This window comes from Homo sapiens, chromosome 1 (assembly GCF_000001405.40).
Source record: "Homo sapiens chromosome 1, GRCh38.p14 Primary Assembly".
Taxonomy (NCBI): Eukaryota; Metazoa; Chordata; class Mammalia; order Primates; family Hominidae; genus Homo; species Homo sapiens.
The window spans coordinates 154,061,405-154,085,248 of NC_000001.11; the positions used below are offsets into that span (position 1 = coordinate 154,061,405).

The following is a 23,844-nucleotide window of genomic DNA, read 5'->3' on the forward strand; positions in this document are numbered from 1 at the left end:
TAAAGTCAATGTCTAATTCTTCAGCTCTATGGGAGAAGTTTCCAGGACTCTCTCAAGGGCCAAAATAACAGAATTACAGAGGTATATAGTCTCAGCTTTATGTAAGTTGTACAACTTTTAAAGAAGAGCTTTACATTCCAATTATTTAATTTATATTTCTTACATTATAATCTCCACTCACTTTTGGGCTTTTCTTCTCTGAATAGCCCACAAAATTGACTCCAATCAGTACAGTCCCTTTTATCTGATGTACTTTAAGGATCTGATGACCTGGAAACATGCAGAAAAATACCCTGTGAGAAACAATAACATGTAGAATACGCAAGTGTTTCTAGAAAACCACATTCTGCCACAGTTTTTCCAAATGGTGCTTTATTGCAGGGGAGGAAAAACTCTCAATGGGGAAATACATAAGAAAAAACTGTTTTTTGTTTTTGTTTTTGTTTTGAGATGGAGTGTCGCTGTGTTGCCCAGGCTGAAGTGCAGTGATGTGATCTCGGCTTACCACAACCTCCCGGGTTCAAGCAATTCTCCTGCCTCAGCCTCCCAAGTAGCTGGGACTGCAGGCGCGTGCCACGATGCCTGGCTAATTTTTGTATTTTTAGTAGAGATGGGGTTTCACTATGTTGGCCAGGCTGGTCTCGAATTCCTGACCTCGTGATCTGCCCGCCTCGGCCTCCCAAAGTGCTGGGATTACAGACACGAGCCACCACGCCCGGCCTGAAAACTGGGTTTTTGTGCTGACCATGCCAATATGTACCCATATGACCCTGAGCAAACACTTTATCTCTTATTTCCTTTATTAAATGAGGGACTGGGCCAGGCGAAATCTAAAATTCTTTCTAGCTTTGATGGTCTATGAGTCCAAAAATAGGCTGACAAGTGTAATTTTTTGTCCAATTTACAAATGGAAGTGAGAAAGGGATAGTCCTTTGGGATCTTTCATCTTTCATTCTCCTAAATTGTCCTCTACATTTACATGTCATGTAAGTCACTTAGCAAAGTGTTTAAATGGCTAACTGTTCTTAATTAGATCAATCCAAACTCCTTAAACTTGTATTTGAAGGCTTCCATATTCTGACTCTGCTTTAATCATTCATTTTTCTTTCTCTTTCTTTTCTTTCCTCTTTCACTCTTCACCTTTCTCTCTCTTTTCTTTTTCCTTTTTTTTTTTTTTTTTTTTTTTGTGTGTGTGTGTGTGTGTGACAGGGTCTCACTCTTCACCCAGGCTGAAGTGCAGTGGTGCAATCACAATTTACTGCAACCTCTACCTACCCGGCTCAAGCAGTCCTCCCACCTCAGCCTCCCAAGTAGCTGGGACCACAGGTGCACGTCAACATGCCTGGCTAATGTTTTGTAGAGACGGGGTCTTGCTATGTTAACCAGGCTGGTCTTGAACTCCCGAGCTCAAGTGATCCTCCTGCCTCAGCCTCCTAAAGTGCTGGGATTACAGGTGTGAGCTACTGCACATGGCCTTTTTTTCTTTTTTTAATTTAACAAACATGAATCTGCCACTTCACTTAGGTCAGTTTTAATTTTGTCCTCAATATATAATCATGCCTAAATCTGTGAGGCAGTTTCTTGTGATGCCACATTCATTCAACAAATATTTATTGAGGGCCTACTACATGCCAGGTGCTATGTTAGGTAATTAGAATACAGAAATTAAGAAGAAAACACAATCCTTGCCTTCAAAGAAACCCATAGTTTAGTGAGGGGAGACTGAGTAGTAAACCAATCAATGCAATACAGTGTGATAAGTGCTATTATAGAAGTACGTACAGAGCACATATAGTATATAAGAGCACAAAGAAGGAATATTTATTTTAGACCGGGAATATAGAGGGACAGAAAACTCCTAGGTTTCCTAGAGGAAGATTTCAGCCCAGTGAAGATGTGAGAAAAGCATGTTTTAAGAAAATAGAACATATGCAATATATGCAAAGGAAAGAAGAATGACAAGCTTTGTCATAGTTAGGGATCTAAAGTTGTTGAGGGTGAGAAAAATATAGGATATGTGTGGATAGTAATAAGAGGTGAAACCAAAGAAGTAAACAGGGTCAGTCTGTTAAGCTACAACATACAAATTTTACCCTGAAAGAATGGGGAATCTCTGAAGACAATATGGTGACAGTATAGTCAGCAGTCAGGACTACAGGCTTTGATGTCAGGGAGTTTGCTGCTTCATCTATTTACCTTTGTAATCTTAGGTCCTAAAACTGAGCCAATTATAGTAAGAACTAAATAAATGTATGATAAATCAACAAATTCACAAAATGGGGATAATAATACCAATCTCTCATGGTGGTTAGAAGATTATGTGAAAAAGTGTATAAAGTAGTTAGTGCAGTGCCTGGCATGTCATGAGAGCTCAGTAAATAGCAACCAAAAAAGGATTTTAAGAGAGATATTCAGACTTGTATTGTGAAGAAGAATCATCTTCCAGTGTAGAAGAAAGTGGTACAAAAGCTAACTTTTAGATTTCCGGGATGAGCATTTGGGTAGATGTAGAACCATTCAATGGAATAGGGAGCACTAAAGTACATATATTATATATATGTATGATATGGTATATTATACATAATATGTATATATTATATATAAATTATATAACACGTCTACATATTTTATATGCATAAATATATTAAATAATATTTTATTATTTTTTAATAGAGGTGGTGGGGGGTCTCACTATGTTGCCCAAGCTGGTCTTGCACTCTTGGGCTTAAGTGATTCTCTTGCCTCAGTTTCCCAAAGTGCTGGGATTACAGGCATGAGCCAATGCACCTGGCCTAAACAGTTATATTAATGGTCCACAGTGAATCATGCCTGCTGGTATCCATGCCTTTGTATAGTCCCACCCACCTTGACTCTGGTTTTTGTCAGGTGACTTACATTAGTGAATGGGACATCAGCGAATGGGACATCAGCAAATATGACACAAGCAGAAGCTTAATAAGCACTTGGGCATGAGGGCTTGTTGCCTTTTTAGAACCTCATCTATGCCTCGTGCCTCTCTGACTTAGTCTCACTCGCCTTCTTAAGCTCATTCTTGCTATTTCCTCTTCCTGTCACCACTCCAGGTCTCAGCATAAATGTCACTTTCTCAGGGTAGCCTTCCCTGTTCAAGACGAGGTTAGGTCTCCCTGAAGCTCTCAAGTCTTCCTGTATTTGCACTTAACACAGTTGTAATGTTTAAAGTCTGGCTTCTCCAGCTATAGTCTGCCTTAGACTATAAGTATATGAGGGAAAAGCCATGTCAATCTCATTCATCATCTCCAGTGCCTAGCAGAGGACCTTACATGTAGCCTTTCAATAAATATTTACTAACAAATAAATAATATTAGGAAAATAGTAGGCAGTCAATACATTTTAAAATTGAGTCAGGCACTGGGCGTGGTGGCTCATGCCTGTAATCCCAGCACTTTGGAAGGCCGAGGCAGGCAGATCACTTGAGGTCAAGAGTTCGAGACCAGCCTGGCCAACATAGTGAAACCCTGTCTCTACTAAAAATACAAAAAATTAGCCAGGTGAGGTGGTGCAGGCCTGTAAGCCCAGCTACTCGGGAGGCTGAGGCAGGAGAATCGCTTGAAACCGGGAGGTAGAGGTTGCAATGAGCCGAGATTGTGCCACTGTATTCCAGCCTGGGAGACAGAGCGAGATTCCATCTCAGTAAATAAATAAATAAAATAAAATAAAATAAAATAAAATAAAATAAAATAAAATAAAATAAAATCAGGTACAATGGCTCATGCCTGTAATCCCAGCACTTTGAGAGGCTGAGGTGGGAGGATCACTTCAGGCCAGGAGTTTGAGACCAGCTTGGGCAACATAGTGAGAACCTGTCTCTACAAAAAATTAAAAAATTAGCTGCTCTTGGTGGCATGCACCTACAGTCCTAGCTACTAGGGCGGCTGAGGCAGGAGGATCACTTCAGTCCAAGAGTTTGAGGTTATAGTAAGCTATGATCTGCTCTACTGCTCTCCAGCCTGGGAGACAGAATAATATCCTGTCTCTAAAGAAAAAGAAATATATTTTAAAAATGATTTAATTTTATGTTCTTGTAAGAAATGTTGGCCCCTCAGCCCTAGCTTTGTAAACAAGGAAAACTACCTTCACATTTTCTAAAAAATACAAGAGTCAAAGATAAAAGGTGACACGTGATAAAATCTAAAATAAAACTCTTGCCCATAAGAAAATATTTAGGGCTGGGTGTGGCAGCTCATGCCTGTAATCCTAGCACTTTGGGAGGCCGAGGCAGGTGGATTGCCTGAGCTCAGGAGCTCGAGACCATCTTGGGCAACATGGTGAAACTCGGTCTCTACTAAAATACAAAAAATTAGCTGGGCATGGTGGCACATGCCTATAGTCCCAGCTACTCAGGAGGCTGAGGCACAAGAATTGCTTGAATCCCGAAGGCAGAGGTTGCAGTAAGCAGAGATAGCACCATTGCACCCCAGCCTGGGCAACACAGTGAGACTCTGTCTCAAAAAAAAAAAAAAAAAAAAAAAAAAGAAAGAAAGAAAATAATTGTAGAAACACTCAGATATACGATTAAGAAACTCACTCAAAATCGCACAACTACATGATGGAAACTGAACAACCTGCTCCTGAATGACTACCGGGTAAACAACGAAATGAAGGCAGAAATAAAGATGTTCTTTGAAATCAATGAGAACAAAGACACAACATACCAGAATCTCTGGGACACATTTAAAGTAGTGGGTAGAGGGAAATTTATAGCACTAAATACCCACAAGAGAAAGCAGGAAAGATCTAAAATTGACACCCTAACATCACAATTGAAAGAACTAAAGAAGCAAGAGCAAACAAACTCAAAAGCTAGCAGAAGGCAAGAAATAACTAAGATCAGAGCAGAACTGAAGGAGATAGAGACACAAAAAACCCTTCAAGAAATCAATGAATCGCTGGGCGCGGTGGCTCACGCCTGTAATCCCAGCACTTTGGAGGCCGAGGCGGGCGGATCACCAAGTCAGGAGATTGAGAACATCCTGGCTAACACGGTGAAACCCTGTCTCTACTAAAAATACAAAAAATTAGCCGGGTGCGGTGGCGGGCGCCTGTAGTCCCAGCTACTCAGGAGGCTGAGGCAGGAGAATGGTATGAACCCGGGAGGCGAAGCTTGCAGTGAGCTGAGATAGTGCCCCTGCACTCCGGCTTGGGCGAAAGAGCGAGACTCCGTCTCAAAAAAACAAACAAACAAACAAAAAATCAATGAATCCAGGAGCTGGTTTTTTTGAAAAGATCAACAAAATTGATAGACTGCTAGAAAAACTAATAAAGAAGAAAAGAGAGAGGAATCAAATAGACGCAATAAAAAATGATAAAGGGGATATCACCACCAATCCCACAGAAATACAAACTACCATCAGAGAATACTATAAACACCTCTACGCAAATAAACTAGAAAATCTAGAAGAAATGGATAAATTTCTGGACACATACACCCTCCCAAGACTAAACCAGGAAGAAGCTGAATCACTGAATAGACCAATAACAGGCTCTGAAATTGAGGCAATAATTAATAGTCTACCAACCAAAAAAAGTCCAGGACCAGACGGATTCACAGCTGAATTCTACCAGAGGTACAAGAGGAGCTGGTACCATTTCTTCTGAAACTTTTTTCCAGTCAATAGAAAAAGAGGGAATCCTCCCTAACTCATTTTATGGGGCCAGCATCATCCTGATACCAACGCCTGGCAGAGACACAACAAAAAAAGAGAATTTTAGACCAATATCCCTGATGGACATTGATGAGAAAATCCTCAATAAAATACTGGCAAACCGAATCCAGCAGCACATCAAAAAGCTTATCCACCAAGATCAAGTTGGCTTCATCCCTGGGATGCAAGGCTGGTTCAACATACGCAAATCAATAAACATAATCCATCACATAAACAGAACCAAAGACAAAAACCACATGATTATCTCAATAGTTGCAGGAAAGGCCTTCGACAAAATTCAACAGTCCTTCATGCTAAAAACTCTTATTAAACTAGGTATTGATGGGACGTATCTCAAAATAATAAGAGCTATTTATGACAAACCCACAGCCAATATCATACTGAAATGCGCAAAAACTGGAAGTATTCCCTTTGAAAACTGGCACAAGACAGGGATGCCCTCTCTCACCACTCCTATTCAACATAGTGTTGGAAGTTCTGGCCAGGACAATCAGGCAAGAGAAAGAAATAAAGGATATTCAATTAGGAAAAGAGGAAGTCAAATTGTCACTGTTTGCAGATGACATGATTGTATATTTAGAAAACCCCATCATCTCAGCCCCAAATCTCCTTAAGCTGATAAGCAACTTCAGCAAAGTCTCAGGATATAAAATCAATGTGCAAAAATCACAAGCATTCTTGTACACCAATAACAGACAAACAGAGAGCCAAATCATGAGTGAACTCCCATTCACAATTGCTACAAAGACAATAAAATACCTAGGAATCCAACTTACAAGGGATGTGAAGGACCTCTTCAAGGAGAACTACAAACCACTGCTTAACGAAATAAAAGAGGACACAAACAAATGGAAGAACATTCCATGCTCATGGATAGGAAGAATCAATATCATGAAAATGGCCATAGTGCCCAAGGTAATTTATAGATTCAATGCCATCCCCATCAAGCTACCAATGACTTTTTTCACAGAATTGGAAAAGTTCATATAGAACCAAAAAAGAGCCCACATTGCCAAGACAATCCTAAGCAAAAAGAAGAAAGCTGGAGGCATCACACTACCTGACTTCCAACTATATTACAAGGCTACAGTAACCAAAACAGCATGGTACTGGTACCAAAACAGAGATATAGACCAATGGAACAGACCAGAGACCTCAGAAATAATACCACACATCTACAACCATCTGATCTTTGACAAACCTGACAAAAACAAGAAATGGGGAAAAGATTCCCTATTTAATAAATGGTGCTGGGAAAACTGGCTAGCCATATGTAGAAAGCTGAAACTGGGTGGGGTGCAGTGGCTCATGCCTGTAATCCCAGCACTTTGGGAGGCCGAGGAGGGTAGATCATGAGGTCAGGAGATCAAGACCATCCTGGCTAACATGGTGAAACCTCATCTCTACTAAAAATACAAAAATTAGCTGGGTGTGGTGGTGGGCGCCTGTAGTCCCAGCTACTCGGGAGGCTGAGGCAGGAGAATGGCGTGAACCCGGGAGGTGGAGCTTGCAGTGAGCCAAGATCATGCCACTGCACTCCAGCCTGGGTGACAGAGCAAGACTCCATCTCATGGATGAAATTGGAAATCATCATTCTCAGTAAACTATCGCAAGAACAAAAAACCAAACACCACATATTCTCACTCATAGGTGGGAATTGAACAATGAGAACACATGGACACAGGAAGGGGAACATCACACTCTGGGGACTGTTGTGGGGTGGGGGAAGGGGGGAGGGATAGCATTAGGAGATATACCTAATGCCAAATGACGAGTTAATGGGTGCAGCGCACCAGCATGGCACATGTATACATATGTAACTAACCTGCACATTGTGCACATGTACCCTAAAACTTAAAGTATAATAATAATAAAATAAAAAAAGAAAGAAAGCTGAAACTGAATCCCTTCCTTACGCCTTATACAAAAATTAATTTAAGATGGATTAAAGACTTAAATGTTAGACCTAAAACCATAAAAACCCTAGAAGAAAACCTAGGCAATACCATTCAGGACATAGGCATGGGCAAGGACTTCATGACTAAAACACCAAAAGCAATGGCAACAAAAGCCAAAATAGACAAATGGGATCTAATTAAACTAAAGAGCTTTTGCACAGCCAGAGAAACTACCATCAGAGTGAACAGGCAACCTACAGAATGGGAGAGAATTTTTGCAATTTACCCATCTGACAAAAGGCTAATATCCAGAATCCACAAAGAACTTAAACAAATTTACAAGAAAAAAATCAAACAACCCCATCAAAAAGTGGGCAAAGGATATGGACAGACACTTTTCAAAAGAAGACATTTATGCAGCCAACAGATACATGAAAAAATGCTCATCATCACTGGTCATCAGAGAAATGCAAATCAAAGCCACAATGAGATACCATCTCATACCAGTTAGAATGGCAATCACTAAAAAGTCAGGAAACAACAGATGCTGGAGAGGATGTGGAGAAATAGGAACGCTTTTACTAAACTGTTGGTGGGACTGTAAACTAGTTCAACCATTGTGGAAGACAGTGTGGCGATTCCTCAAGGATCTAGAACTGGAAATACCATTTGACCCAGCCATCCCATTACTGGGTATATACCCAAAGGATTATAAATCATGCTACTATAAAGACACATGCACACGTATGTTTATTGCAGCACTATTCACAATAGCAAAGACCTAGAACCAACCAAAATGTCCATCAATGATAGACTGGATTAAGAAAATGTGGCACATATACACCATGGAATACTATGGAGCCATAAAAAAGGATGAGTTCGTGTCCTTTGTAGGGACATGGATGAAGCTTGAAACCATCATTCTGAGCAAACTATCACAAGGACAGAAAACCAAACACCGCACGTTCTCTCTCAGAGGTGGGAATTGAACAATGAGAACACTTGGACACAGGGCGGGGAACATCACACACCAGGGCCTATCATGGGGTGCGGGGATGGGGGAGAGATAGCATCAGGAGAAATACCTAATGTAAATGACAAATTAATGGGTGCAGCAAACCAACATGGCACATGTATACATATGTAACAAACCTGCACGTTGTGCACATGTACCCTAGAACTTAAAGCAAAAAACAAAACAAAACAAAACAAACAAACAAAAAAACACTCAGGTATATGAAAAGACTTGTATATTTTCACAATACCATGTAACCGGGTCTGCCCACTGCCATCATCTTTTGCTACCATTTCCACTGATTTATAATCTTCGAAATGGGCTAGTGTTTCATTGGAGGATTTCCATTCTAGCATTAGTGAACTGAAATTATCAAACTTTCTCCTATGTTGATCAAACACTGCTAGTTCCAGGACTGTGTCCCTCAGTCTTGATACAGGAATCTGCATTAAAATAAAAAGTAATAAAACAACAATTTAAAAATCAATAGCCTAAGGGGTAGTAAGATATCTCTAAAGCTAGGAATCGAGTTTTCTCTCAATATTTTTACCTTAAAAATTTGCAAACTTATAGCTATTGAAAGAACAATATAATAAATACCTATATACATACACTTCACCTGGATTCACCAGTTCTTAATATTTAGTTACATTGCCTTTTCTCTCTCTCCCTCTCCTTCCTCACCTTCCATATATGGCTGTTATTTTGTTTTGTTGATGTAGGCATCATTGCACTTCACCCCTAACTATTTCAGCATGTATCCTAAGAATACGAGAACATTCTGCTATGTAAGAAACAGGATATCACACACAATAATATTAACACTAATTCAATGTCAGCAAATGTATAGTCAATATTTCCATTCCCCAAAATGTCGCCCCAAAATATTTTTATACGTTTTTTAGTTTAGATCTAGAAGTTAATCAAGGTGTATGTATGCATTGTATTTGATTGTTTACCTTTTTGGTATATTTTAATCTAGAAAAGGCACATTTGCCCTTTTTTGTTATTGTTTTTCATGATATTGAATTTTTTGTAAAGTCCAGGCCAGTTTTTTGTTTTGTTTTGTTTTTTGTTTTTTGTTTTTTTTTTGAGACAGGGTATCTCTCAGTTGCATGGGCTGGAGTATAGCAGTGTGACCATGGCTCATTACAGCCTCAACCTTCCAGGCTCAAGCCATCCTCCCAATTCAGTCGCCTGAGTAGCTAGGACTACAGGTGCGTGCCACCACACCTGGATAACTTTTTTTTAATTTTTATTAATTTTAATTTTTAAATTTTTTTATGTCCGTAAGTTTTTGGGGAACAGGTGGTATTTGGTTACAAGTAAGTTCTTTAGTGATGATTTGTGAGATTCTGGTGCACTCATCACCCAAGAAGTATACAGTGGACCCAACTTGTAGTCTTTTATCTCTTACCCCCCTCCACCTTTCCCCCGAGTCCCCAAAGTCTATTGTGCCATTCTTTTGCCTTTGCATCCTCATAGTTTAGTTCCTACTTATGAGTAAGAGCACACGATGTTTGGTTTTCCATTCCTGAGCTACTTCACTTAGAATAATAGTCTCCAATCCCATCCAGGTTGCTGCAAATACCATCAATTCATTCCTTTTTTTTTTTTTTTTTTTTTTTTTTGAGATAGAGTCTTGCTCTGTCACCCAGGCTGGAGTGCAGTGGCACAATTTTGGCTCACTGCAACCTCCGCCTCCTGGGTTCAAGCGATTCCCCTGCCTCAGCCTTCCAAGTAGCTGGGATTACAGGTACGTGCCACTATGCCCGGCTAATTTTTTTGTATTTTTAGTAGAGACGGGATTTCACCATGTTAGCCAGGATGGTCTCAATCCCCTGACCTCGTGATCTGCCCACCTCGGCCTCCCAAAGCGCTGAGATTACGGGCGTGAGCCACCACGTCTGGCCCTAATTCATTCCTTTATATGGCTGAGTAGTATTCCATCGCGTGTGTGTGTGTGTGTGTGTGTGTGTATCACAGTTTCTTTATCCACTCGTTAATTGATGGGCATCTCAGTTGGTTCCACATTTTTGCAATTTCAAAGTGTGCTGCTATAAACATGTGTGCAAGTATCTTTTTCATATAATGACTTCTTTTCCTCTGGGTAGCTACCCAGCACTGGGATTGCTGGATCAAATGGTAGCTTTACTTTTAGGTCTTTAAGGAATCTCCACACTGTTTTCCATAGTGGCTGTACTAGTTTACATTTTGACCAGCAGCATAAAGTGTTCCCTGTTCACCATATTTACACCAACATCTATTATTTTTTGTATTTTTTTATTTTAATTATGGCCATTCCTTTTTTTTTTTTTTTTTTTTTTTGAGACGGAGTCTCGCTCTGTTGCCCAGGCTAGAGTGCAGTGGTGAGATCTCGGCTCACTGCAAGCTCCACCTCCCGGGTTCATGCCATTCTCCTGCTTCAGCCTCCCGAGTAGCTGGGACTACAGGCGTCTGCCACCACGACCGGCTAATTTTTTGTAGTTTTAGTAGAGATGGGGTTTCACCGTGTTAGCCAGGATGGTCTTGATCTCCTGACCTCATGATCCGCCCGCCTTGACCTCCCAAAGTGTTGGGATTACAGGCGTGAGCCACCGCGCCTGGCAATTATGGCCATTCTTGCAAACAAAAGCATAATGTGGGGAAATGACACCCTATTTAACGAATGGTACTGGGATAACTGGCAAGCCACATGTAGGAGAATGAAACTGGGTCCTCATCCCTCACCTTATACAAAAATCAATTCGAGATGGATCAAGGACTAAAATCTAAGACTTGAAACTATAAAAATTCTAGAAGATAACATTGGAAAAACCCTTCTAGACTTTGGCTTAGGCAAGGATTTCATGATCAAGAACCCAAAAGCAAATGCAATTAAAACAAAGATAAATAGCTGGAACTTAATTAAACTAAAGAGCTTTTGCGCAGCAAAAGGAACAGTCAGTAGAGTAAACAGACAACCCACAGAGTGGGAGAAAATCTTCACGATCTATACATCTGACAAAGAACTAATATCCGGAATCTACAATGAACTCCAACAAATTAGCAAGGAAAAAACAAACAACCTCATCAAAAAGTGGGCTAAGGATGTGAACAGACAATTCTCAAAAGAAAATATACAAATGGACAACAAACATATGAAAAAATGCTCAGCATCACTAATGATCAGGGAAATGCACATCAAAACCACAATGTGATATCACCTTACTGCTGCAAGAATTTTTTTATTTTTTGTAGAGACGGGGTCTCACTGTGTTGCCAGGGCTGGTCTTGAACTCCTGGGCTCAAGCAATCCTCCCACCTCGGCCTCCCAAAGTATGAAACCCACATCCCTACAAAAAATAAAAAAGATTAGTCACATATGATGGTGTGCACCTGTAGTCGCAGCTACTTGAGAAACTGAGGTGGAAGGATCGCTTGAGCCCAAGTTCAAGGTTACAGTGAGCTATGATTGCACCACTGCCCTCTACCCTAGGTGAGACCATCTCAAATAAATAAATAAATAAGGGCCATGCATCGTGGTTTATATCTGTAATCTCAGCACTTTGGGATGCCAAGGCGAGCAGATCACTTGAGGTCAGGAGTTCGAGACCAGCCTGGCTAACATGGCGAAACCCTGTCTCTACTAAAAACACAAAAATTAGCCGGGCATGGTGGTGCATGCCTGTAGTCCCAGCTACTCAGGAGGCTGAGGCACGAGAATCGCTTGAACCTGGGAGGTGGGGGTTGCAGTGAGCCGAGAATGGACCACTGCACTCCAGCCTGGGCGACAGAGTGAGACTCTGTCTCAATAAATAAATAAATAAATAAATAAATAAATAAATAAATAAATAAATTCAATGGTATACTGGAGCAGGCTCATAGGTAAGCTGATTGTTAGCATCTCTTGACAACTCTGAATAGTGATATCATATTGGTAACCTGAAATCGGCCATGATGGGAGTATTAACACCATAGAATTTGGCACATGTTACAAATTGGGTCCCCCTAAGTTTTTTTTTTTTGTCGTTGTTTTTTGTTTTGGAGAGTCTGTTAAAAATTTACTTGCACATAATATCAGGTTGTACCACTATTAGTGATGCCAAATTTGATTATCTGCTGAAGGTGGTGACTGCCACTGGAGATCTCTCCAGTATAAAGGTATGGTTTCCCCTCTGTGGGTGATAATTTGAAATCTTGAGACTATCCCATTTCCCAACAGGCTTTCACTTACTAGTCTTAATATCCATTGATGATCTTTGCCAGGATCAATTATTACAAGGAGGATTACAAAATCATAAATTTCTAATTCTATGATTCATTTTATATAAGCTGGTATTTTCCTGGAAAAAAGCATCCTTTTTTCTCTTCCATCCCTCCTTCTCTTCCTTCCTCAATTTATTTTTCTTCTCTTTCTCCCTCCTTCTGTCTCTTTCTTCCTTCATTTTTCTCTTGTAACCTTGAGCATCACTATGGGATCACGATTTTTTTTTTTTTTTTTTGAGACGGAGTCTCACTCTGTCACCAAGGATGGAGTGCAGTGGCACGATCTCGGCTCACTGCAACCCCTGCCTCCCCAGTTCAAGTGATTTTCCTGCCTCAGCCTCCCTAGTAGCTGGGACTACAGGCACCCGCCACTACGCCTGGCTAATTTTTTGTGTACTTTTAGTAGAGACGGGGTTTCACTATGTTGGCCAGGCTGGTCTCGAATCCTGACCTTGTGATCTACCTGCTTCGGCCTCCCAAAGTTCTGGGATTACAGGCGTAAGCCACCGCACCCCGCTGGGATCATGAATTTTAAGTTGATATTTCTGTCATTATTTTTTAAAAGATATATTTAAGGGGTACAAGTGCAGATTTCTTACATGCATGTATGACACAATGGTGAAGTCTGGGCTTTTACTGTAGTAAACATTGTACTCAATAGGTAATTTTTCAACCCTCTGCCATTATTTTTTGGATGCTCAGATTATCTACAATTTGGAGAGTAGGGGTCCCTTCAAGCCAGCTGCTTTTTGAGAAGTCACCATTACTCTTTGAGCACTTCTTTGCTTTCTAACGCAAGTTGTTTGAGACTCATTGTTCACTTTCCCTACTGAGCTGGAATCAACTAGTTCTCCAAGAGGCTCTGATTCCTTTAAATGGGGACTAGTATTTAGAAACCCAGATGTTTGTACATCACTATTGGGTTATAGGCCCTTTCAGTGAACAGAGCTTGTAAATAAAATTTGTTTTAAAAAAGTATGAGTTGTACAGCAATTTTAAAACATGTCTCTAAGCTCTCATATATATGTGAGACATACCCACGTATACATATATATACACACACATATACACATTCTTTGACAAGATGACTCAATGACTCAACATCATAAATATTCCACTTACTCCAAGTTAATAAATAAATTTAACATAATCTCAATTAAAATACCAGGAACACAAATAAATATTTGCCAATAATTAGCTGACCATGAAGCTAACTAAGCAGAGACTTTTAGTGGCCACATAGGTCAAAGAGTACAGATGTTACAGAACTAGTTCAGAAAAGACACTAAATAAATGTTCTCAGCAAAAACAAAAAACAAAAGCAGCCACAAAACCAGGGGAGGAGAAGAATCTGATTTCAGAGTTGCTACATTATATTATATAAAATGTTGAGTTTTTAACAAAAGATTATTAGAAATGTAAAGAAATAAGTATGGTCCATACATGAGAATAAAAGCAGTTTCCATAGAAACTGCCTTGAGAATGCCCAGACATTGAGCTTACAAGGCAAATACTTCTTTTTTTTTTTTCCTTTTTTGAGATGGAGTCTTACTTCATTGCCCAGGCTGGAATGCAGTGATGCAATCATAGCTCACTGCATCCTCTGCCTCCTGGACTCAAGCAATCCTCCCACCTCAGCCTCCCAAGTAGCTGAGACTACAGGCATGCACCACCATGCATGGCTAATTTTTGTATTTTTGCAGAGGTGGGGTTTTGCCATGTCACTCAGGCTGGTCTCGAATTCCTGGACTCAAAGGATCCGTCCACCTCAGGCTCCCAGAGTGCTGGAATTACAGGTATGAGCCACCATGCCTGGGCCAGACAAAGACTTCTTTTTTTTTTTTTTTTTTTTGAAACAGAGTCTCACTCTGTTGCCAGGCTGGAGTGCAGTGGCATGATCTCAGCTCACTGCAACCTCCACCTCCCAGGTTCAAGTGATTCTCCTGCCTCAGCCTCCCTAGTAGCTGGGACTACAGGCGTGTGCCACCACGCCCGGCTAATTTTTGTATTTTTAGTAGAGACAGGGTTTCATCAGATTGGCCAGGATGGTCTTGAACTCCTGACCTCATGATCCACCCACCTCAGCCTCCCAAAGTGCTGGGATTACAAACATGAGCCACTGTGCCCGGCCAGACTTCTAATTAACTTTAATGTCCAAAGAACTAAAGGTATTCATGTTTGACTAACTAAAGGAAAATACAAAAGTGCTATCACATTACACAGAGAATACCAATAAAGAGATAGAAGTTATAACAAAAAAGAACCAAAAAGAAATTCTGAAGTTGAAAAGTACAATAATTGAAATGAAAAATTAACTAGAGGAATTCAACAGCAGATTTGAACAGGCTGAAGAAAGAATTGGAGAACTTGAAGCTAGGTCAACTGAGATTATCCAGTCTGATGAATAAAAAGAAAAAAGAATGAAAAAAAAGAACAAACATCAGAGACCTGTGGGACACCATCATACGTACCAGTATATGCAAAAACGGAGTGCTAGAAGGAGAGGAGATAGAAGAATAGAGGAAGAAAGAATATTTGAAGAAATAATGGCCAAAACTTACCAAATTGATGAAAACCATTAAACATTCAAGAAGCTCAAACAACATCAATCCATCAACATCAAGCAGAATAAATTCAAAAAGATCTACATCTAGACACATCATAATCAATCTGTCCAGAGTCAAAGACAGAATCATAAAAACAGAAAGGGAAGGGATTCACCCCTCATAAGGGATCTTCCATGGGATTAATAGCTGATCTTTCATCAGAAACCATGAGGACCAGAAGGCAGTGAGATGACACATTCAAAGTAAAAGAAAAAGGGCCAGGTGCAGTGGCTCGCGCTTGTAATCTTAGCACTTTGGGGGGCCGAGGCAGGTGGATTGCCTGAGCTCAGGAGTTTGAGACCAGCCTGGGCAGCATGGTGAAACCCCGTCTCTACTAAAAATCCAAAAAATTAGCCAGGCGTGGTGGTGTGGGCCTGTAGTCTCAGCTACTCAGGAGGCTGAGGCACAAGAATTGCTTGAATCCAGGAGGCAGAGGTTGCAATAAGCCGAGATCATTCCAGCCTGGGTGACACAGCGATACTCTGTCTCAAAAAAATAAATAAAAATAAAATAAAATAAAATAAAATAAAAAGACTGCCAGCCAACAATTCTATATTGGGCAGAATAATCCTTCAAAAATGGAGAAATTAAGACATTCTAAGATCCAACAAAAATGGAGAGAATTTATTGCTAGCAGACCTGTCTTACAAGAAATACTAAAGGGAGTCCTTCAGGATGCAATGAAAGGTCACTAGACAATAGCTTGAATCACCATGAAGAAATAATCTGGAAAAGATAATTACATAGGTAAATATAAAGGACAGTATAAATGTATTTTCGGTTGTAATTATTCTTTTTTTCTATCTGATTTAAAAGAAAAATATATGGCCGGGTGCGGTGGTCCACGCCTATAATCTCAGCAGTTAGGGAGGCTGAGGTGGGTGGATCACCTGAGGTCAGAAGTTTGAGACCAGCCTGACCAATATGGTAAAACCCTGTCTCTACTAAAAATACAAAAATTAGCCAGTCATGGTGGCATGCATCTGCAGTCCCAGCTACTTGGGAGGCTGAGACAGGAGAATTGCTTGAACCCAGGAGGCGGAGGTTGCAGTGAGCCAAGATCACGCCACTGCACTCTAACCTGGGCAACAGAGTGAGACTCAGTCTCAAAGAAAAAAGAAAAAAATATTTATAAAGTAATAATTATAGGCTGTGTGGTGGCTCAAGCCTGTAATCTCAGCACTTTGGGAGGTCGAGGTGGGCGGATCGCTTGAGCCCAGGAGTTCAAGACCAGCCTGGGCAACACAGCGAGACCTCATCTTTACAAAAAAAAAAAAATTACAAAAATTAGCTAGGCACAGTGGCGTGCGTGTACCTGTAGTCCCAGCTACTAGGGAGGCTGGGGTGGGAGGATCCTTTGAGCTGGGGAGGTGGAGGTTACGGTGAACCATGAATCAGCCAGGAAAACAGAGGAAGATCCTATCTCCAAAAAAAAAGGCCAGGTACAGTGGCTCATGCCTGTAATCCCAACACTTTGGAAGGCCGAGGTGGGTGGATCATTTGAGGTCAGGAGTTCAAGACCAGCCTGGCCAACGTGGTGAAACCCTGTCTCTACTAAAAATACAAAAATTAGCTGGATGTGGTGGCACACACCTGTAATCCCAGCTACTCAGGAGGCTGAAGCAGGAGAATCACTTGAGCCTGGGAGGCAGAGAATGCAGTGAACTATGATCACATCACTGCACTCCAGCCTGGGCAACGAAGTGAGAATCTGTCTCAAAAAAAAAAAAAAGAAAACAATATATATATTTACTGGTTTGATGGGCATAGTATATAAAAATGTAATTTATATGACAAAAACAGCACAAACAAGGGACAGGAAATGGGTTTATATCGGAGCAAAGGTTTTATACACTACTGAAATTAAGTTGGTATGATGCCAAACTAGGTTACTAAAGATTAAGATGTTAATTGTAATCCTTAGGGCAATAATTAATAAAATCACTCAAAACAACACAGCTCCCTAAGCCAACACTAAACAAGAAGGCCATGCAGTTCATCATGAAGCCCAGTGATGAAAAGCTGAATAAGTTTGAGGCCAGCATTGCTCAGGCTTTTCTTATTTATTTATTTTGTAAGGAAAGAACTTTGGAGTACTTCCTTTCTTTCCTTTAAACAAAAATTTTGGCTGAGCATGGTGGCTCACGTCTGTAATCCCAGAACTTTGGGAGGCCAAGGTGGAAGGATTGCTTGAGGCCAGGAGCACAAAACCAGCCTGGGCAAAAAATAAAAATTAGTCAGGCATGGTGCCTCATGCCTATAGTCCTAGCTACTCAGGAGGCTGAGGTGGGAGGATCACTTGAGCCGAAGAGTTCAAGGCTGCAGTGAGCTATGACTGCAGCACTGCACTACAGTCTGGGAGATAGAGTGAAAACCTATCTCAAAAAAAAAGTAAATAAAATAATAAAAATTTTACATTAAAATTTTTTTTTGAGAGGGGTCTTGCTATATTGCCCAGGCTAGGAGCAAACTCCTGGGCTTAAGCAAGCTCCCACCTCACCTTCCAACTAGCTGGGACTACAGGTGTCCGACACCATACCTGGCTTCTCAGGCTCTTCTTTAACCTGGAAATAAACTGGGACCTTAAGGCTCAGCTAAGGGAGTTGAATAGAACAGCAGCCAAAGAAATTGAAGTTGGTGGTAGTCACGAACTATCATAATGTTTGTCCCCATATCTCAACTGAAATCTTTACAGAAAATCTAAGTTCTACCTAGCATGTGAATGGGAGAAAAAGTTCAATGAGAAGCACATTATCTTTATTTGTTAGATGAGAATTCTGCCTAAGCCAATTCAAAAAAGCCATACAAAAAAAAAAAGCAAAAATGTTCCAGGAGGTGCATTCTAATAGCTGTACACAATGAACCATTGATCTTGGTCAAGGTCAAGATCTCTTGGTCAAGGTCAAGATCACTTGGTCTTCCCATGTGAAACTATGGGCAACAGAATATGAGCAGTGGGCTCATAAAGGTTCATCTGGACAAAGCATAGCAGGACAATGTGGAGCACAAGGCTGAAACATTTTTGGTATTTATAAAGAAAGCTCACAGGCAAGGATGCTAATTTTAAATTCCTAGAGTTTCAGTTGTAAACAAAAGTGGCTAAGTAAAATATCATTCACATATACACAAAAATATAGTAAAAGAAAAAATAAAGCAGTTAAAATAGTACACTAGAAAATGTCTAACACAGAAGAAGGAAGAGGCTGGGCATGGTGGCTCACACCTGTAATCCCAGCACTTTGGGAGGCCGAGATGGGTGGATTACCTGAGGTCAGGAGTTTGAGACCAGCCTGGCCAACATGGCAAAACTCCATCTCTACTAAAAATACAAAAATGAGCCAGGCATTGTGGCGCATGCCTGTAATCCCAGCTACTCGGGAGGCTGAGGCAGGACAATCGTTTGAACCTGGGAGGCGGAGGTTGCAGTGAACCAAGATCATGCCATTGCACTCCAGCCTGGGCGACAGAGCAAGACTCCATCTCAAAAAAAAAAAAAGGAAGAAGGAGAAAGAAATGACTGGGCGCAGTGGCTCACACCTGTAATCCCAGCACTTTGGGAGGCCAAGGTGGGCGGGTCACTTGAGGTCAGGAATTCAGGAATTTGAGACCAGCCTGACCAATATGATGAAACCCTGTCTCTACCAAACATACCAAAAAATTTCCCAAGCACGGTGGCGTGCACCTGTAGTCCCAACTACTTGGGAGGAGATTCTGAGGAGAATCACTTGAACCCAGGAGGCAGAGGTTGCAGGGAGCAGAGATGGCACCACTGCACTCCAGCCTAAGCGACAGAGCGAGACCATCTCAAATAAATAAATAAATAAATAACAACAACAAAAACACCCAGCACTTTGGGAGGCCAAGGCAGGTAAATCAGTCAAAGTCAGGAGTTTGAGACCAGCCTGACCAATATGATGAAACCTCGTCTCTACTAAAAATACAAAAATTAGCTGGGCATGGTGGCATGTGCTCTTGGATTCCCAGCTACTCAGGAGGGTGAGACAGGAGAATTGCTTGAACCTGGGAGGTATAAGTTGCAGTGAGTCGAGATAGTGCCACCATACTCCAACCTGGGCAACAGAGCAAGACTGTGCTTCCGAAAAAAAAAAAAAGAAAAGAAAAAAAAAGAAAAGAAAAAGAAGGAAGAAATGGAAGAAGAGGAACAGAAAAGACATATGACATATAGAAAACAAATAGCAAAATGGCAGACATAATGCCTACCTTATCAGTAATTACATTAAGTATAAATAAATTTTATGTTCCATGAAAAGTCTGATTAGCATAATGAAATTTTTAAATGGCCCAGCTATATGTTGTCTGCAAGAGACACTCATGGGTCACAAGTATAAGGATGGAAAAAAAAAAAAGATGTATCATGCAAACAGTAGCCAAAAGAGAGCTGAGGTAGTTACACTAACATCAGACAAAACAGACTTTAATACAAAAATTGTTACTAAAGAAAAGGTCATTTTATAATGATAAAATAATAATCTATAATAAAGAGGTTGTCCTCAGTTCCTGGGAGGTAACCCCTAAACCTTTGGAATTTCTTGAGTAATAGGATTGTGTCTGTTATTTATGGTGGCCCCCTTGGATAACATTTGAGTTTATGCTAATGAGATGACTCAGGATGGAGTTGGATAAGGACAGAAAGACCAATCATGTGATTAGAAGGATGAGGTTTTGGGTCAGGTGATAGCAGCCCCACCTCCAGGGAAAAGAGGAGGGCTGGTGATGGAGTTTAATCACGTGGCCAATTATTCAATTAATCATGTTTACATAATTAATCATGTTTACATAATAATATCCCAATAAAACGCTGGAGCTGGGCATGGTGGTTCACACCTACAATCCCAGCACATTGGGAGGCCGAGACAGGAAGACTGCCTGAGCCCAGGAGTTCAAGACCAGCCTGGGCAACCCAGTGAGACCCTGACTCTACAGAAAAATTTTAAAATTAGCTGAGTGTAATGGCACAGACCTGTGGTCCCAGCTCCTCTAGAGGCTGAGGTGGGAGGATCACTTAAGCCCAGGAAGTGAGGCTGCAGCAAGCCATAATCACGCCATTGCACTCAGCCTGGGCAACAGAGTGAGACCCTGTGTCAAAAAACAAAAAACATTGGACACCAAAACTCAGTGGAATTTCCTGTTTGGTAAACACATTGATGTGTTCCACCTGTTATGTTTTCACCAGATCCTAATCCCATGGAGAGGGCATGGACGCTGCGTGTCTGGGACTCTCTGAAGATTTTTCTCAAAAGGACACAAAATGATTTGTATCCTTTATAACGAAACTGTGAGTCATTCTAACAAATTACCAAACTTGTTGGTCATAAGAGTGGGTAGCCTGTGAGTCCCCCCATTTGCAACTATCATCTGAAGTGAGGGCAGTCTTGTTGGGAACTGTGCCTTTAAAACCGTGGAGTCAGCTAACTGCATATTGGTGTCAGAATTGCATTGTGGTATTGCCAAAGGTCAATCTATTAAAAAGATGTAACAATTGTAAATGCGTATGTACCTAATAACAGAGCCTCAAAATACATGAAGCAAAACCTGACAGAATTGAGGAAGAAATAGACAATTCAATAATAGTTAGAGCTTGTAGATAGTTGAACAGGTGGAGATTCCCAGAGGATGGCATGCTCAGTGAGGGCATGGAAGCTCCACGCCCCATCCCTATATCTCACCCTATGTATCTCTTCATCTGTATCCTTTACAATATCCTTTATAATAAACTGGTAAACATAAGTAAATATTTCCCTGAGTTCCATGAGTCACTCTGCTTCCGTAATTGGTTCCTTCTGGTAGGTTCTTGACCAATTACGGAACTGGTCAGAAACGGAGTTTGTTCCTTCAGATGCGTCCAGAGTTTCTTCCTTCTGGTGGGTTCCTGGTCTCGCTGACTTCAGGAGTGAAGCTGTAGACCTTCGCCTTGAGTGTTACAGCTCTTAAAGGTGGCACGTCTGGACTTGGTCATTCCTCCCAGTGGGTTCATCATCTCGCTGGCTTCAGGAGTAAAGCTGCAGACCTTCACAGTTAGTGTTACAGCTCTTAAAGGTGGCACATCAGAAGTTCTTCATTCCTCCTGGTGGGTTTGTGGTCTCGCTGACTCCAGGAGTGAAGCTGCAGACCTTCGTGGTGAGTGTTACAGCTCATGAAGGTAGTGTGGACCCAAAGAGTAAGAAGCAGCAAGATTTACTGTGAAGACCAAATGAACAAATATTCCGCAGCACAGAAAAGCAACCGAGCAGGTTGCCACTGTCGGCTCGGTGGCCAGCTTTTATTCCCTTATTTGGCCCCGCCCACATCCTGCTGATTGGTCCATTTTACAGAGTGCTGATTGGTCCATTTTACAGAGCACTGATTGGTCCATTTTTACAGTGTGCTGACTGGTGCATTTACAAACCTTTAGCTAGACACAAAGCGCTGATTGGTGTGTTTTTACAGAGTGCTGATTGATGTGTTTACAATCCTTTGGCTAGACAGTAAAGTTCTCCAAGTCCCCACCAGACCCAGAAGCCCAGCTGGCTTCACCTCTCAACTTCAGCAAATTAATTGAACCCAAAGAGGTCAGGGGAACCCCAACTAGAGGCCAGTTGGTCAGAAGTTCTGGAGGCCTGGATTTGCAACTTGTGTCTTAGGTGTGGGCAGTCTTGGTGACTGAGCCCTCAACCTGTGAGATCTGACAGTAACTCCAGGTAGATAGTGTCAGAATTGAATTGGAGAACACCCAGCTGGTGTCTGCTGCTTGATGTGTGGGGAAAAAACCCATACGTTTGGTTACAGAAGTCTTCTTTTTTCTTCTTCCCTCTCTCATATTTTTCATGAAACAGAAATCTTCTGTGTTAATGATTGTTGTGGTGGTGTGAGGGCAGAGGAAAAACACAGTTTGAGAGTTTTTCCTGAACAATTGGTGTGATTGAGGTGGGATTTGATAGAATGGCACTGTGGCACAGAAACGGTGGTTTGGGATGAGAAAGGATGAAAGGGTGGGGGATGAGGAACCTTTAATTCCTGGGTGGCTACCTTGTCATGAATGGTATGAAACTGCAGCTGTGCTGTGTTCAGTTACTAAGGGTAAAAGTTAACCAGTGCAATTTAGAGATGGTGGTAGTCTCAACAGGGTGGTAAACCCTGTTGTTTTTTCTTTCCTTTTCCTTTCTTTTTTTTTTTTTTTTTTTGAGACAGAGTCTCACTCTGTCACCCAGGCTGGAGTGCAGTGGCGCAATCTTGGCTCACTGGAGCTTCCACTTACCTGGCTCAAGCAATCCTCCCACCTCAGCCTCCCCAGTAGCTGGGACTACAGGAGCACGTTACCATGCTTGGCTAATTTTTAATTTTTTTTTTTTTTTTGAGACACAGTCTTGCTTTGTTGCCCAAACTGGAGTGCAGTGGTGTGATCTCGGTTCACTGCAACCTCCATCTCCTGGGTTCAAGCGATTCTCATACCTCAGCCCCCTGAGTAGCTGGACTCACAGGCAAATGCCACCACATCTGACTAATTTTTGTATTTTTAGTAGAGATGGGGTTTCACCGTGTTGGCCAGGCTGGTCTTGAACTTCTGACCTCAAGTGATCCTCCCACGTCAGCCTCCCAAAGTGCTGGGATTAGAAGCATGAGCCACCGCACCCGGCCTTAAATTTTTTGTACAGACAAGGTCTCACTATATTGTCCAGGCTGGTGGAGACCTTGCTTTATTTTTAAAAAATTTTTGTCTATTTATTTATTTATTTATTTTGAGACCAGGTTACAAGACTGGCTAATTTTTGTATTTTTGGTAGAGATGGGGTTTTGCCATGTTGCCCAGGCTGGTCTCCAACTCCTGGGCTCAAGTGATCCACCTGCCTTGGCCTTCCAAAGTGCTGGGATTACAAGCATGAGCCACTGCATCCAGCTGGGACCCATATTTCTTTAAAAAAAAAAAAAGGCTGGGGTTGGGGGGAGGATTTAAATTTAAAAATATGTTCTCTAATCACAGTGGAGTGAAATTAGAAATCAGTAACAGGAAATCTGGAATATTCACAAATGTGTGGAAATTAAAAATACTCCTAAATAACCAATGAGTTACCAGCCACAGTGGCCAGGCTGGTCTTGAACTCCTGACCTTAGATGATCCACCCAATTCGGCCTCCCAAAGTGCTGGGATTACAGGCGTGAGCCACAGCACCTGGCCTAAAAATAAAACTAAAGGCCAGGTGCAGTGGCTCACTCCTGTAATCCCAGCACTTTGGGAGGCTGAGGTGGGTGAATCATGAGATCAGGAGCTTGAGACCATCCTGGCTAACAAGGTGAAACCCTGTCTCTACTAAAAATACAAAAAAAAAATAGCCAGGCTTGGTAGTGGGCGCCTGTAGTCCCAGCTACTCGGGAGG

The 23,844-nt window shown here is 41.4% G+C and overlaps 1 protein-coding gene and 1 pseudogene across 8 annotated transcripts in view; one reads left to right on the forward strand and one right to left on the reverse strand.

Annotated features, from left to right (window-relative positions):
- NUP210L (nucleoporin 210 like) overlaps positions 1-23,844 on the reverse strand; it is a 162,427-nt gene that overhangs the window by 68,715 nt on the left and 69,868 nt on the right. For all 8 annotated transcript variants that reach the window (XM_011510122.2, XM_011510123.2, NM_001159484.1 and 5 more), the window contains 2 exons: positions 8,869-9,061; positions 182-270 (listed from right to left, as the gene is read on the reverse strand). In XM_011510122.2, coding sequence (XP_011508424.1) covers positions 182-270; positions 8,869-9,061 — 282 coding nt within the window. The remainder of the gene's footprint in view (positions 1-181; positions 271-8,868; positions 9,062-23,844) is intronic.
- RPS7P2 (ribosomal protein S7 pseudogene 2) lies at positions 18,018-18,561 on the forward strand (annotated as a pseudogene).